Below are 16,561 nucleotides of genomic sequence, written 5' to 3' on the forward strand. Positions count from 1 at the left end.
TTAAATTTTTCTTATAAATGAAAGTGGTTTGGTAATGGTTTTAAATTTATGTTTGGTAAATACATTTTCAATATGGTCTAATTTTTTAAAATATTTTTATTTATTTATTTATTTTTTGAGAAGGAGTCTCACTCTGTTGCCCAGGCTGGAGTGCAGTGTGGCACGATCTTGGCTCACTGCAACCTCCACCTCCCAGGTTCAAGCGATCTCCTGCCTCTGCCTCACAAGTAGCTGGGATTACAGGCACCTGCCATCATGCCCAGATAATTTTTTTGTACTTTTAGTAGAGACGGGGTTTCACCATGTTGGCCAGGCTGGTCTCAAACATCTGACCTCAGGTGATCCACCTGCCCCAGCCTCCCAAAGTGCTGGGATTATGGGCATGAGCCACCGCGCCTGGCCGGTCTAATTGTTTTAAGCTTAATAGTTATTGTTTAGTTCTTAGATTATGTAAAAATTTTAGGAGTATCAAAAGAAGTTTTTGCTACATCATTCTTTACCAAATTTTAAGAATGTGCAGAACGAGGAATATAAAAATGCCCTAGAAATTTTTTTTAATGCTCTACTCTTATAATGTATGTTTTCTATGCATATATGAGGGAATTTTTATGTTTCTATCCTTTCAAATTATTTCTAAGTTGATGTTTTGGGAATGTGTAAAGTATCAAAAATGTGTTTAATGTAACTATTCACATCTGCTAACATTTTAATTATTTGATTTTTTAATTTCCAATAAAAATAACATATGATATTTGGTGTTGATGTTTATATTCTATATAAATATTCTGCTATAATATCACATATTCCTATGGTTCCTATCAAATGAAAAAATTCCCATGATTCTGTTCCTAATTCTTTTTGGATGATACTCTGAAAGCTAACAGTTGCCTTGGTAAAAATTAAAACATATATATTAAAAGTGCAGTCTCATTTTTTATTTACTCTCTAGTCTGTGGTTTCAGTGTTATTTTTTTTAAATTCAGATTTTAGTTTTCAATACTTAACACTATCATGACAAACGTACAATTCTTCATATACAATAAGAATATCTTATGAACACTGTTCTTTTCATTTTTTATATTATTTTACATTCTAATTCTTTATATTTTCCATCTCCAGAGAGTTTGCAACATAGACAAAATACATACTCTTTTTCAGTAAAATAAAATAACCTGCTTAGTGGGGTTTTTTTGGTTTATTTTATAATTTCCGTAATTTTGTATGCAACATTCTTAATAATTTCCTACTTGTATGTGTTTGGAAAGTTAATTACCACTACTAAATCACTCTCTTCTCTAGATAGTATGTTTAAGTTTGGGTGGGTGAGTGGGGATTTTTGTGGTAATGGGAAATAACCCTTTAGTGATGAAAAATTTAATACCTCCCTTCTTTCTTTTATATAGTATCAAAGGTGCAGAATCTGGGACAAGTTGCATGAAGAGCATATCAATGCAGGACGTACAGTTCAGGTAAGGCTATTATATTTTTTCTGCTAAATCAGTATGAAAAAGACAGTCTTAAGACAATTTTGCTAAAATATTACCTTTGCAGCTGAACCCTTTTATACACATTTGTTACTATTTACTTGAGGATACATTTTTAGCAGAAATTGCTGAATCACATGCCATACATATTTTCAAAGTTTTGTTTTGTTACCAAATTTTCCTCCAGAAATGATACACAGACTTATACTCTCACAAGCAATACATTTTGTAAAATCCTTTAACATTGGTATTACCCATTTCTTAAATTTTTGCTAATTGATAGGTTAAAATTGTGCCACTTCGTTGTTCTAATCTGGATTTGTAAATACTTTGAAGGGTGAACTTTTTTTCACATTGCCTGGGCAGTAATTTTTTTTTTTTTTGTTAATTGCCTGTTAATATATTTGTATATCTTATATTATGTTGATGTCTTTTGTGAGAGCTCCTTATAATTTGAAAGATACTGATCTTCTGTCTACAATTAGTATTGCAAATATTCTTTGCTAGTTATTTGCTTTTTAAAAATACATTTTAATTATTTTAACATAATTTTTAAAAATAATATATTTACATGGTTTTAAAAGCCAAATACAAATAGAGGGCTTATAATATCCTATATTCTCCACCTACAAGTCCTCCTACTTGGAAGAAACCATTCTTAATCCTTTTGGCCTTTCTCCCTGAAATTTACCTATATTACTAAATAATGTGTAGACTGATATTTCTTGATTAATCAGGTTTAGATTTTTTTTTTCTTATGGTAGGTGGAGCTCTAGGTTCCTACCTTGCTCTCCTACTTCCCTTCCCCCATATAATTACATATATTACAATTTTTGGTTAAATTAATATAATATAAACTCATTATATTGATTATGGAGATATTGTTTTCTGCTGAGTCAAATAGTGAAATACAGTACTAACTTTTACTTTTTAAAAAGTTAATAATTACCTCATTTTTTAGTTGTCTGGCTTTCTGTGTATCTTGTGGTTAATTTTCTCTAAATGCTCCATATCTCTGTCACATGCTGTCAGTAATATTTCTTTTTCTTTTCTTTTTTTTTTTTTTTTTTTTGCAACAGAGTCTCACTCTGTTGCCCAGGCTGGAGTGCACTGTTGCAATCTCGGCTCACTGCAACCTCCACCTCCCGGGTTCAAGCAATTCTCCTGCCTCAGCCTCCCAAGTAGCTGGGACTACAGGCACCCACCACCACGCCTGACTAATTTTTGTATTTTTAGTTGAGATAGGGTTTCACCATATTGGCCAGACTGGTGTCAAACTTTTGACCTTGTGATCCGCCTGCCTTGGCCTCCCATAGTGCTGGGATTACAGGCATGAGTCATCGCACCTGGCCAGTAATATTTCTTATATGCTCAAATATGTCAGTTCCATTCTTTATTTATTTTATTTTATTTCATTTCATTTTTTTGAGACAGAGTCGCCCTCTGTCGCCCAGGCTGGAGTGCAGTGGCTCAATCTCGGCTCACTGCAAGCTCCTCCTCCTGGGTTCACGCCATTCTCCTGCCTCAGCCTCCCGAGTAGCTGGGACTACAGGCGCCCACCACCACGCCCAGCTAATTTTTTGTATTTTTAGTAGAGATGGGGTTTCACAATGTTAGCCAGGATGATCTCGATCTCCTGAGCTCGTGGTCCACCCGCCTCAGCCTCCCAAAGTGCTGGGATTACAGGCGTGAGCCACTGCACCCGGCTTTTCCATTCTTTATTTTAAAGATGTTCTTCTGAACTCTTCTTCCCCTACTTCCTATGTGAACTTTCTAGGCTTGTTGTGCAGCTCCTGTTCTGGGACTTTCCTTAGCTGCTTTTCTGTGTTTACATCTCTATTTTCCTAGGTATTATGCCTTCCTCATTTTTGCTTTATTCTGTTGTTTTATTGGAGTAATCTTGCAGTAGCCCTCTAATTAAGGGTACCTTGGAGATAAATATAAGTAATTGTATTTCTAAAAAATGCCTTTATTCTCTCCTGACATGTGATTGCTAGTTTCACTAGATATAGAATTCTAGTTGGAATTCTCTTTCAATATTGAAGGCTTTCTATCTTCTTTGTGTTATACTTTAAAAAGCTAGTATCATATAATTTCCCAGTCTTTTGTTTTGTTTTGTTTTGTTTTTCGTTTTTTGAGATGGAGTCTCGCTCTTTCGCCCAGGCTGGAGTGCAGTGAGTGATGCAATCTTGGCTCACTGCAATCTCCACCTCCCGGTTTCAAGCGATTCTCCTGCCTCAGCCTCCTGAGTAGCTGGGACTACAGATGCGTGCCACCATGCCCAGCTAATTTTTGTATTTTTAGTAGAAACGGGGTTTCACCATGTTGGCCAGAATGGTCTCAATCTCTTGACCTTGTGATCTGCCCACCTCAGCCTTCCAAAGTGCTGGGATTACAGGCGTGAGCTACTGCGCCCAGCTGATTTTCCAGTCTTTGTACAGGACCTGGTTTTGTTTTTTTGTTTTTTCCCTCTTTGGGAGCTTTTGTGATTAGTTCATCCCTGGTATTCTGAAATTTGATGATGATGTCATTGTGTTGGACTGTTTCTTTCTAAAAATTCATGTGCTTTAGTTCTGGGTAATTTTCTTAGATTTTTCTTTGGTCATTTATTCTTCTGTGTTTTCTCATTTTGCTCTTTTTTTTTTTTTCTTTAATTCTAAAGGTCCGCAAACTGATTCAGAGGCTATGTCTGGCCTCTGTCTATCCCATTTGCTTACACATTTCTTTGGCTGCTTTCACACGGTAACAGCAGAGTTAAGTAGTTGCAACAGAGACTGTATGGCCTACAAAGCTTGAGCTATTTACTGTCTGGTTCTTTGTAGAAAAAATTTGGCAGTCCCTGTTCTATTGGATGTTGGAACTCTTGGGTTGCTTGTCTGATTTTCGCTCTGTTTTCTAAAAGATTTCCTCAGGTTTCTCTTTACCTTTTTCCTTTGAATTCTTTTTTTCTGCTATTATGATATTTAGTTTACAAGAGCTTTTTCTTGTTCTCTTTTCCTTTCTTGATAGCATTTTGTCTATGGGTGTAATAGGTTTTTTTGTTTGTTTTTCTGAAATATTAAAAAGTAGATTGCTTGTCTTCTGGTGGACTTCACTTAAGGATGCTTGGGCAAGCTGGCGTTTTCCTTAGGGATACCTCCAAATATCAGTATCTGGAGGTTGTTCTTATTTAGTTTTCTGAAGAAGAATTCTCATTTTCCCCCTACGGCAGGTAGGTGCTTATCTTACAAAGTTATAGAGGCAGATTAGATAAAGACTTTTGGGCTTTATTCAGTACAGGCTTTTTAGCCCTGTACCTGGTGTTTCTGAATCTAGAGTCAGTTGCTCCAAAGAATACATCTGTGGTCCTCTTGAATTCAGAAAGGTTATTATAGCTGCAGTATAGTGATTAAATTGTGATAGAATGAAATGAATTCAAGAGATCATTAGGAAGGGTTACAGAGGTCCAAGAAAAAGATGTTAGTAGCTTAGAGATAATGGAGATGAAGGAAAACAGATTGATTTGAGATTTAGATGGAAATTTGACTTATCTCTCTATAGCTGTATTTACTGCTTGCTAATTAGATGATAGGTCTAACAAGCAGAGACTATGTCTCCACTATTTGTATATTCTGCAGCACCTGGTGCCCAGCAAGATTTGGTGTCTATTGAATGGTACTCAGCATGTTAATGATTTAATGAGATTATTATGACTTAGATTTCTTACAATCTTCACTGTTTAATCTATCATTTAAAAATCACATGATTTGGTTGAGACATTGGCTATGATCAAAGTATTTGTTTACTGATTTTTAAAATTTGCGTATATATTTACCGTATTGACCTCCATCTGGCATAAAAGATTTATGGGTGCCATTAGAGTAGTAAGATTGAAGCTATTGTTAGATGTAGGTATTTGGTGAGTTTTACTCATATCTGCTCTGAATTTTGTGTATAGATTTCTACTTTGCTAGTTAGTGTAAAAGTTATTTTGGGACAAATAACCTCATCAACAATTATAACAGATTTTCTAGATTTATCATCATTAGATTTACGTAGTAAGAGCTATATTGTCACATTCATTATGGTATCTTGATAAAAATAAGTTCTTAATTTAAATGTAGTTTAAATTATCAATCTTTTATGGTTCCTACTTTGGCGGCTTGTTCAAGAAATCCTCTCTTGGAGGATTCAAGAAGATATTTCTTTATATATTTAACTGAGTGTTTTAAATATTTTGCTTTTAACATTCAAGTCTTTAATCCATCTGGAATTGGTGGTATGAGGTAGACATCAATAAAATTTTATTTTATTCCATCTTGAAAATCACTTGTGTGTTACACTATTACCTGATTTCTGTGGTGCTACTTCTGAAGCACATTGTAATTCCAAAGATGCATGTAACTCCATATGTCTCTGATCTTTATATTCTATTCCATTTGTCAGTCTATTTCTGCACCAAATTCCACACACTGTCTTAATTATGACAGTTTTAAGATAAAGCTTGATATCTGATTGTACAATACTTCCACAGTATCCTTCCTTTTCAGGAGTGTTTTGGCTATACTTGGCTCTTTAGTCCTCCATATGAAATTCAGAATCAGCTTTTCAAAGTCCATACACAGTCTTGTTGGGAAGTTGGGAGTTGCATTGGTAGAGAAAATTGACATCTTTACAATATCTAGTTTTCCTGCCTGTGAATATGGGATATTCTTGCATTTGTATTTATCTTCTTTAATATTTGGGGATCTTTATAGTTTTTTGCGTACAGGTTGTGGTACATTGTACTTTCTAAAGATACCCACAAAAATATCCCCCATCCCACATGGCCTTCTACATTATGACCTTGCTACTCCCCCACCAATAGGTGGAGTCTAATTTCCCTTCTCTTGAATCTGGGCAGAAGTAAAGCTGCTTATTTGTTGACTTGCTAGTTTAATTTAAAACACATTGTAATTGCATTATTTTCCCCATTTTTGTCACTTACCATACAAAAGTATAAAAGGAATATTTTACAAAGCTTCATCTTCCTCAGCTCTTCTTCCCAAATACTTAATATTTAGTAACAATACTAATTGATAATAGAGGATTCTGAAAAGTACATCACAGTTTCTACCTTGAAGGAACTTACATAGACAGGAATTCACAAAAAGTTAAATTAAGTATTTAAACAATAGTTTAAAACCTTAGTAAAAGTTAATGTAAGTCAGAATATGATTAATTGACAATTGCATTATAGAGACCAATAAATGATATAGTACCTGCTATCTGGATGCTGGATAAGGGGGTATTATCCTCATTTTTCAGATACCAGAAAGCTGAAGAGATTTAGTGTTTGTCTAAGAAGTAGTAGGAAACCAGTTTATCTGGCATAGTGTCAGTGCTCTTAGTTGGCACTTCATAAGAATCTTTAATGAGAACCCATTCCAGTGTTGTATTCTAGTGTTTTTAGTTTAATCTGGAAACATTTTGAATAATAATTCAGGTGGATAGGGATTCGAGTGCTACACTTAATACCTGTATAAGATGCTCATTAGATATTTGTTAAATAAATGGAGACCTTTTTCTCTATTGATTTTTACTCTTTTTGGTGGCTTAGTTAATACTTGTTAAGCTATATATATTCTTTCTGGTGACTTTTGATGTTGAAATAAGTGAGAAGTCATTATATTAGTATCAGTGCCTTAAGTATAGTAGTTAGGTAATGAAAGAATAGTCCAGATTTATTTTAATTAAATAGCTATGACTCTGGAGCCCTTAGCAATAAATTATATGCTGTCTAGAATGTGTTTACTCTAAGTTATTTAAATGTTTACCAGTGGACTTCTGCTCTGTGTTTGTAAAGAAATCAGATTAATTATTATGATACCAAATGTTTTCTGCTGTACACAATTTGTTCTCAAAATTACATGTTGTAAAAACACATTAAGAATCCTTAAATCAATATTTTAAAAATGCAAATATATGCATAGCCACTCTTAATCATTAAATACATAATTAGCCATTTTTCAGAATTTTCAATTAACTTAAAATAATTACTTTTTACAATTATCAGTATAGATAAGTATATATTTGAATTTTTTTTAATCTTTAGACAGAAGTTTTGGGACATTACTGAAAGAAGGAAAAAAGCCATAAGTACTTATAACATTTAGTTATAAAACCAAAGAGAACAAAAGAGAGAAGTTGTTTTTAATTTATTAAAAGTGTAGGCTGGGCGCAGTGGCTCACACCTGTAATCCCAGCACTTTGGAAAGCTGAAGCGGGCAGATCACGAGGTCAGGAGATCGAGACCATCCTGGCTAACACAGTGAAACCCCGTCTCTACTAAAAATACAAAAAATTAGCCGGATGTGGTGGTGGGCACCTGTAGTCCCAGCTACTCGGGAGGCTGAGGCAGGAGAATGGCGTGAACCCAGGAGGAGGAGCTTGCAGTGAGCCGAGATCACACCACTGTACTCCAGCCTGGGTGACAGAGCGACACTCCATCTCAAAAAAAAAAAAAAAAAAAGAAAAAGTGTAGCTATAGTTTACAGTTTACTATCTGTACACTGCAAAGCTTGTTAAGTTGATATATGTTCTTTTTTAAAAACTTATGTCAGTGATTATAGACCCCTTGATTAACTGCTGGATATTTCTGAAAATTTTCAGAATTTGGTACAATACCTGCTTTTCTGACCTGATTATTAGAAAAGCAGAAGCATTTGAACATTTGCTGTGTTCTAGATACTCTTCTAGACACTGGGCATACATCTGTGGCGGTGGCAAGTGGAGAGAGCAGAGAGAGATTTTTTTAAAGTAAACAAACATGTAATATGTTAGATGATTATAAGTGCCATGAAGAAAAGTAAAGCAGGTTAAAGGCAACAAAGAATCACAGAAGGTGTTGAGTGTTCTTTTAAATAAATGGTGTTTGTGGAAGGCTTCTGATGACATTTGAGCAGAGATCTAAAGGAAGTGAAGGCATAAACCATGGGGAATAGAATTTTCCAGGCAGAGGGACGACTCTGAGGTGAGAGGATGTGGCATAGTCAAGAAATAGTAAGGAACAGTAAGGAGGTCAGTGTGGCTAGTGTGAGCAAGGAGAGTACAGGAGATGAAGTCAAAGAGATCAGAGGGTCAGATCATGGAGAGCCTTGCAGGATATGGTAACTTAGAGTTAGTAGGCAGCTTTTGGAAGGCTCTGAGCTTCTTCCACTCTGCATAAATACTTTGAAATTCATTTATGTTGTAATGTCTGTCAGTGTTTAATTCCTTTTTATTATTGAATAGTATTCTATTGTATGGCTATACCACTATACCACTGTTTGGCTATTACTAATAAAGCTGCTATGAACATTTGGGTACAGGTATTTGTGTGGACAAAGGATTTCATTTATTGTGGGTAAATAGTTAGGAGTGGAATGGCTGGAACATATAGTAGTTGTTTTTTAGGAAACTGCCAAGTTGTTTTCCAAAATGATTGTATCGTTTTATATTCCCACCAGTTCCTCCATTGTCCTTGCAAACAGTTGATATAGTCAGCCTTTTAAATTTTCACCCTTCTAATTAAGTCTGTAATGGTATCTCATGAGTTTAACCTTCATTTGCTTAATGATTAATGATGTTTCTGTTTTCTTTTGAATTTTGAATTTTAATAAATTAAAAACAACTTCTCTTGTTCTCTTTGATTTTATAACTAAATGTTATAACTGCTTATGGCTTTTTTCCTTCTTTCATGAATTTTTTATTCCATTTTATCTCCTTGCCTTGCTAGCTAATACCTCTTTTAGTGGTTCCTTTAGGGTCTTTAGTGTACATCTTATCACAGTTTATTTGCAAGTGGTATTATTCTATTTCACATATGTTTAAGAAACTTAACAATACACCTATATTTCTCCTCTACCAGCCTATATGCTGTTGTTCTCATATATTTAACTTTTATACATCATATACTTCATAATATTTAAATAGGCATTTATTTTTTAAGTGATTTAGATATTAAAGAAAAAAATCTTATATATGTACTGGTGTCATTTCCATTTTTAGTGTGCTTAATGCCCTTATGTAGATCCATATTTCCATCTGGTGTGGTTTTCCTTTTGCTGGAAAGATTTCCTTTAACATTTCTGGGAGTGTGATTCTGCTGTGACGAATACTTTGAGTTTTTGTATATCTGAAAAGTTTTTATTTCGCCATTGTTTTTAAAAGAAATTTTGCTGTATATACATTGACTTTTTTCTTTCAGTACTTTAAAGATGTTCAGCTGTCTTCTCACTTGCATTGTTTCTGATGAGAAATCTGCTTAATTCTTATCATTGTTCCTTTGTATGTAATGTGTCTCATTTCTCTCGCTTCTTTTATGATTTTCCTTTAATCTCTGGTTTTGGGCACTTTGATTATGATAGGCTTTGGTGGCATTTTCTTCCTGTCTTGTGCTTTGAATTTATTGAGCTTCTTGGACCTCTGGACTTATCGTTTGCATCAAATATGGGCACTTTTTGGCCATTATTCATATATTTTTCTGTCCCCTCCCTTCTCTTCTCCTTCAAGGGCTCCAATTACACATATGTTAGGTTGCTTAAAGTTATGTGATAGCTCACTGATGCTCTTTTAATTCTTTTTGATTGTTTTATCTGTGTGTTTTATTTTGGATAGTGTCTATTGCCATGCCTTTATGTTTATTAGTCTTAACAGCAGTGTCTAGTCTGCCATTAATCTATTCAATGTATTCTTTATCTCACTCACATATTGTAGTTTTCCCCTCCAGAATTTTGATTTGAGTCTTTTTTATATCTTCTGTGTCTCTAATTAACTTTTTGAACACATGAAATACAATTGTAATAGCTATTTTTATATCTTTTTCTACTAATGCTTATATCTATGGCAATTCTAGGTCAATTTCAGTTCAGTGATTATTTTCTTCATTATGGGTGATGTTTTCTTGTTTCTTTGTGTCTAGTGATATTTGATTGGGTCTCTTTTACTTTGGTAGGTGCTGGATATTTTTATGTTTTATACATCTTATGTTTATATAAAACAATGAGCTTTGTTCTGGAATGTAGTTAAGTTGCTTGGAAACTGATCCTTTAGGGTCTTACTCTTATGATTCATTAGGCTTAACTATAGCGCTGCTCAGTCTGTGGCTAATTATTTCTCATCATGGGGGCAAAACCTTTTTGAGTGCACTACTCAATGCCCTGTGAATTAAGAGTTTTCCCATTTTGGCTGGTGGCAACAGGCAGTGTCTCCAGTGTTGAGTGAGTGCTGGGTACTGTTCTCTCTAACTTTTTCAGGTGGTTTCCTCGCCAGCTTTGGGTAATTTCCTCACATACATGTTCTGATCAGTTCTTTGCTGAATTCTGGTATTTAGTGACCTCTAAATACCGATGTATCACTGATCCCTCTGCATATTTCCAGGGCTCTCTCTCCCTGTGCTGCACTCTCCTCTCCAGGGCTCTGTTAAATGAACAGTGCTCACCTTGGACAGAACCAGAAGTCATCTATTATTGTTTTGAAACTGCAAATATAGTATACTTAACAATTTTCTTTTCTACGATAAGAAAACATTAGGATTAAGAAACATTTTGTGATCAAAATTTGAAACTAAATGAGAGTTGGAAATTGTTACTACTATAATAATTCACTGAAGAACATTAACTTGGCTTTTATAGAAATTTGATAAAGGCCAGGCGCAGTGGCTCACGCCTATAATGCTAACATTTTGGGAGGCCGAGGTGGATGGATTGCCTGAGCTCATGAGTTCAATACCAGCTTGGGCAACATGGTGAAACTCTGTCTCTACAAAAAATACCAAAAAATTAGCCAGGCATGGTGGTGTGTGCCCTGTAGTCCAGCTGCTTGGGAGGCTGAGGTGGGAGGATTTCTTGAGCCTGGGATATTGAGATTGCAGTGAGCCATGATCATGCCACTGCACTCCAGCCTGGGTGACAGTGTGAGACCTTGTCTGGAAGGAAGGAAGGGAGGGAGGGAGGGAGGGAAGGACCTGATAAGAGGGAGGGAGGGAAGAAGGAAGGAAGCTATCGGCCTGAGATTTTTCTTCATAATAGTGATGATGTAGAACTTGTTGAGGTCACAGATTTCTGGGATCCACATTAGAGATTCTGATTCAGTAGATCTCAGACCACATTTGGAAAGATACGGCTTTGGAGAAGCTATCCCAGTTCCGTAAGCACACAGATGCACAAAAATAAAATCAGCCATGGAATTTGTAGATGTGAGATGTGACTTTCATGATTTTACTAGGAAAAACATAGAACACTTGAGCTATCTACTTTTTAATTTTTAAAAAGGGGGATGATTTAAAAGGGAGAAACAATAGAAAAGAGAGGGAATGAGGAGGAGAGTGGAGAAGCAAATATAGTAGACTGGTTAGGAGAAAAGAAACGATTAAGGAGAAGCAAAACCAGATAGAGAATGGAAAAGAAGATACAAGAGTGGATTCCAAAATGAATGCTATTAGGATATAACTTGTTTTAGTTTATTGTGAGTTAAATTTTGCCTTAAAGTTCTTATGAGCTGATTAATCAGGATTTAGGATCCTTGACCTCTACTCTGATTGGCATAGGTTCTACAGAATCTCAGGGAGGAAATTAAATCTAAAACATCGTCAGTTGTAAGACACACTATTATTTTGTATACCTCTAAGAAAGAAAAAAGTACTGCCAGTTAACTATGCACAATGCTTTTTACCATTTATTTTAAGATACTTTCCAATTTTAGAGATGTTAAAATGTGGACAAGATACTGTGTTTTAAAATTGATGAAATACAGTATTTAGAAGGCTTCTACCCTACCTCAGTCTTTTCCCAATCTGTTCTTCCTATTTAGTGTGTTCTATTTTCCCATTATTATTTTTCAGAGACAGCACAAGTCTCCCCTCCTTCATGAAGCCTACCTAGATCCTTACTATGTTTCAGATTTCCTTTGAGCATGTTTCTTCCACCCCTTTCATTTTGAATATTTCCCCTTAATAGAGAATCAAAAGCAAAATAGGAGTTACATAGTTCTGCTCTCTCTGCATCATCTGCCAACACTGCACCATCTGCCCCAAGCAGTGGGCCTGAACTTTCTTTCTTGTTCTTACTCTACATGTATTTTTTAAGTCCTTTTTATTGTTCTTAACATTTTTTCATCAGCCTCCGCTCATTCTGGGCTCTAACTTTACTTACAAGATTCTCTTTGTTTTACAAGTCTCTTAAAATTCTGAACTTATCATAGCACACCTTACACAACAACCATATTGGATTCTTTAGATGCCACTTTCTTTTCTTTCTTATCAGATTAACTTATTTTAGTTTTTTATTTTTTGAGAGGCAGTCTCGCTCTTGTCGCCCAGGCTGGAGTTCAGTGGCACGATCTCAGCTCACTGCAACCACCACCTCCCGGGTTCAAGTGAGTCTCCTGCCTCAGCCTCCCAAGTAGCTGGGATTACAGGTGCCCACCACCATGCCTGGATAATTTTTGTATTTTTAATAAAGATGGGGTTTTACCACGTTGGCCAGGCTGGTCTCAAACTCCTGACCTTCAAGTGATCCGCCCGCGTCGGCCTCCCAAGGTGCTGGGAGTACAGGTGTGAGGTTAATTGTTTTTATAGTGTCAGATTAACTTGTTTGTATAGTGTAGAATTTTACTTTTTTTTTTTTTTTTTTTGAGATGGAGTCCCACTCTGTCACCCAGGCTGGAGTGCAGTGGCGTGATCTCAGATCTCAGCTCACTGCAACCTCCACCCCCCGGCTTCAAGCAATTCCCCTGCCTCAGCCTCCCAAGTAGCTAGGATTACAGGCGCACACCACCATGCCCAGCTAATTTTCTTGTATTTTTAGTAGAGACGGGGTTTCTTCATGTTGTCCAGACTGGTCTCAAACTCCTGACCTCAGGCAGTCCGCCTGACTCAGCCTCCCAAAGTGCCGGGATTACAGGCGTGAGCCACCGCACCCGGCCTAGAATTTTACTTTTTAGAAACTTTATCTCTTTTGCAAAAAACTTTATTACAGTGTGATTTCTGCTATGGCATCATACAGCTTTTTTCTTTAAACTTGATCAAATTATCTTTCCTAAAGAATCTCTAATCCTAGTGTTCCTTCTAACTCTTGTGAACTAAACTGCAAGATGGCATCATGGTTTCTCTCTCATGTGTCTCACTTCCACTTCACTATTTTATGCTTGTATGTCAGAATTAATTCCAAAGGAGTAGTTCTTTTCATTATTTCTTCCACTTAATGAAAGATGGAATGTTTCATATGCTAGTGACTACACTTTTCTAGGGAAGAATTTTAGTTGGTTTCTTGATAGTTGGAGATGCATGTTGTTGGACCACTACTTTGCCACTTTTTGCAAAGTATTAAGAAAGCATTCATTCTTTTACCATATTGATTGAATCATACCATATACCAGGGACCAAATGTGGCCTTGAGGATATATGACAAAGAAATTAGACACAATCCCCGTTCTTAGAAACTTTACAGTTCAGTTGAATGTTAAGTAATATCCTTATCCAGTATACTTCCACAATAAAATTCCTGCTCAGTTTTACCCCTACCCAAATGCTTCAACCTCGTTTCTGTCCTAAGGTTAATTGACCATACAAGTCAATGTAGTAGTATTTTCTGAAAGTATTTAAGCTTTTTATTGTGAAATATAATTTACGTATTCTAAAAAATGCCTAAAATATAAATATACACCTAAATAAATTATTATACTGTGAACACTCATGTATCACTACTCAGATCAAGAAATAGTTGCTGGTATCCTAGAAGCCCATAGCCTCTTCCCAATTACAACCACCTTTTCCCCTGCAAAAAGAATCACTATCTTGATTTATATGGTAAATACTTTGTACCTTTTCTGTATAATTTTACTGCCAAAGTGTGTCCTTAAGACTGTAGTTTAATTTAGCCTATTTTTGAACATTATATAAATTGAATTAAACAAGATATCTTTTGTGTCTGGCTTGTCATTTACCTGTGTTTTTGCCTATAACAATAGTTCATCCATTTTCATTGCTGTATATATTCTATTTAATGAACATACCATAGTGTTTCCATTCTGTGGATGGACATTTGAGTTGTTCAGTTTATATTATAAATGCTATTAACATTCTTGTATATTTTTACACATGTGCACATATTTCTGTTGAGTATATTCCTAGGACAGGAATTGTTGGTTCCTTCAGCATACTTACTTTCAACTTTAGTAAGTAATGCCAAGCTATTTTCCAAAACAGTAATGTTAATTTTACATTCCTTCCAGCAGTGAGTACAATCCTGTGGGCACCACATCCTTACCAATACCAATATTTAGTATTGTCAGACTTTAATTTTAGCTGTTCTGGTGGGTAAGTTAATTGTGGTTTTAATTTACATTTACCTGATTATTCATGAGATTAATTTTTCATGTGTTTATGAGACATGCCCATTTAGAGTTCTTGCCTAAGTTTCTGTGGGTTGTTTGTATTTTTTTATATTGATTTGTAAGACTTCTTCATATGTTTTGCCTATGACCCCTTTATCAGTTATATGTGTTGCAGATATCTTCTGCCACTCAGTGGTTTACTTTTTCACTGTCTTAGTGGTGTTTCTTGATGACTAGAAGCTCATTTAATTTAAAGGTTATCAATCTTATAGTTAGTGATTTTGTGCCGTGTTTACTTTTATTTTTATTTTTTAGAGACGGGGTCTCCTTTTGTTACCCAGGCTGGAGTGCAGTGGCGCAATCATAGCTCACTGCTGTCTCAAACTCCTGGGCTCGAGAGTTGTGCCATGTTTAAGAAATCTTTCCTACCCAGGGTTACAAAGATATTCTTCTATTTAAAAGTGTTATTGTTTTGCCTTTCACATTTAAGTCTACAGTCCATCTGGTTGATTATTGTATATGGCGTGAAGTGGTATATCCAGCTTTATTTTTTTTTCATAAGGATACCCAAATTACTAGGCATAATGATTTGAAAACTTCATTTTTTTTCCCATCATTGCTCTGTAGTGCTACTTTTGTCGTAAGTCAAGTGCATTTATGTTTGGGTTGTTTCTGGGCTGTTTCACTGTGTATTTGTCTTTTCTTGCACTAATGCCATACTCTCTTAATTACTATGGCTTTATAATGAGTTTTGATATCTAATAGAGGAAGTTCTCCTACTTCCTTCTTCACAAGTGATTTGGATAGTCTCAGCCCTGTGCATTTTCATATACATTTTAGAATCAGCTTATTAAGTTTCACCAAAACAAAACAAAGTATCAATTAACCTTTTGCAAATTTATTTAATTTATTGAATTCCTGTATTTGTTTTTGTTTGTTCGTTTGTTTGTTTGTTTGTTTTGAGATGCAGTCTCGGTCTGTTGCCCAGGCTGGAGTGCAGTGGCGCGATCTCTGCTCACTGCAAGCTCCGCCTCCTGGATTCAAGTGATTCTCCTGCCTCAGCCTCCCGAGTAGCTGGGACTACAGGCGCATACCACCTCGCCCGGCTGATTTTTGTTTCTGTTTTTGTTTTTTTGAGTTGGTGTCTCACTCTGTCACCCAGGCTGGAGTGCAGTGGCGCAATCTTGGCTCACTGCAACCTCTGCCTCCTGGGTTCAAGCGATTCTCCTGCCTCAGCCTCCCAAGTAGCTGGGACTACAGGTGTGCGCCACCACGCCCAGCAAATTTTTGTATTTCTTAGTAGAGACGGGGTTTCACCATGTTGGCCAGGCTGGTCTCGAACTCCTGACCTCAAATGATCTGCCCACCTTGGCCTCCCAAAGTGCTGAGATTACAGGCGTGAGCCACTGCACCCAGCTGAATCTCTATATTTGAATAAAAGTGACATCTTTGCAATATTGAATCCTCCAATCCATGACCATATTTTATTGTTTTATCTTTTATATGAAGCTAGATTTAAATTGCTGGTGTTTCTTTAGGATTTTAAAATCTTGTTTATAGTGCGTGAGACTAGTCTGAATTTTTCTTTATTCTTAATCTTCTTAAGTTTCGTTTCAAGGTTGTGCTATCATAAAGAGTTAGAGGATGGTCTTTTTCTGTGCCTTTGAAGAATTTGTGTAATTTCCTTTAAATATTTGGTAGAATTGGCCAGTAAAACTATCAGGCTGGGCTTTTTCTTTGTTTGT

General features: G+C 35.8%; 1 protein-coding gene across 7 annotated transcripts in view; it reads left to right on the forward strand.

Moving 5' to 3' along the window:
* Positions 1 to 16,561, forward strand: part of STX17 (syntaxin 17) — a 67,881-nt gene that overhangs the window by 20,721 nt on the left and 30,599 nt on the right. For 6 of the 7 annotated variants that reach the window (XM_047423551.1, XM_011518821.4, NM_017919.3 and 3 more), the window contains one exon: positions 1,404 to 1,469. In XM_047423551.1, coding sequence (XP_047279507.1) covers positions 1,404 to 1,469 — 66 coding nt within the window. Of the gene's footprint in view, positions 1 to 1,403; positions 1,470 to 4,325; positions 10,703 to 16,561 lie in introns of those variants that run through there. The other variant, XM_011518823.4, reaches the window with a different exon arrangement.

Source organism: Homo sapiens, chromosome 9 (assembly GCF_000001405.40).
Source record: "Homo sapiens chromosome 9, GRCh38.p14 Primary Assembly".
Taxonomy (NCBI): Eukaryota; Metazoa; Chordata; class Mammalia; order Primates; family Hominidae; genus Homo; species Homo sapiens.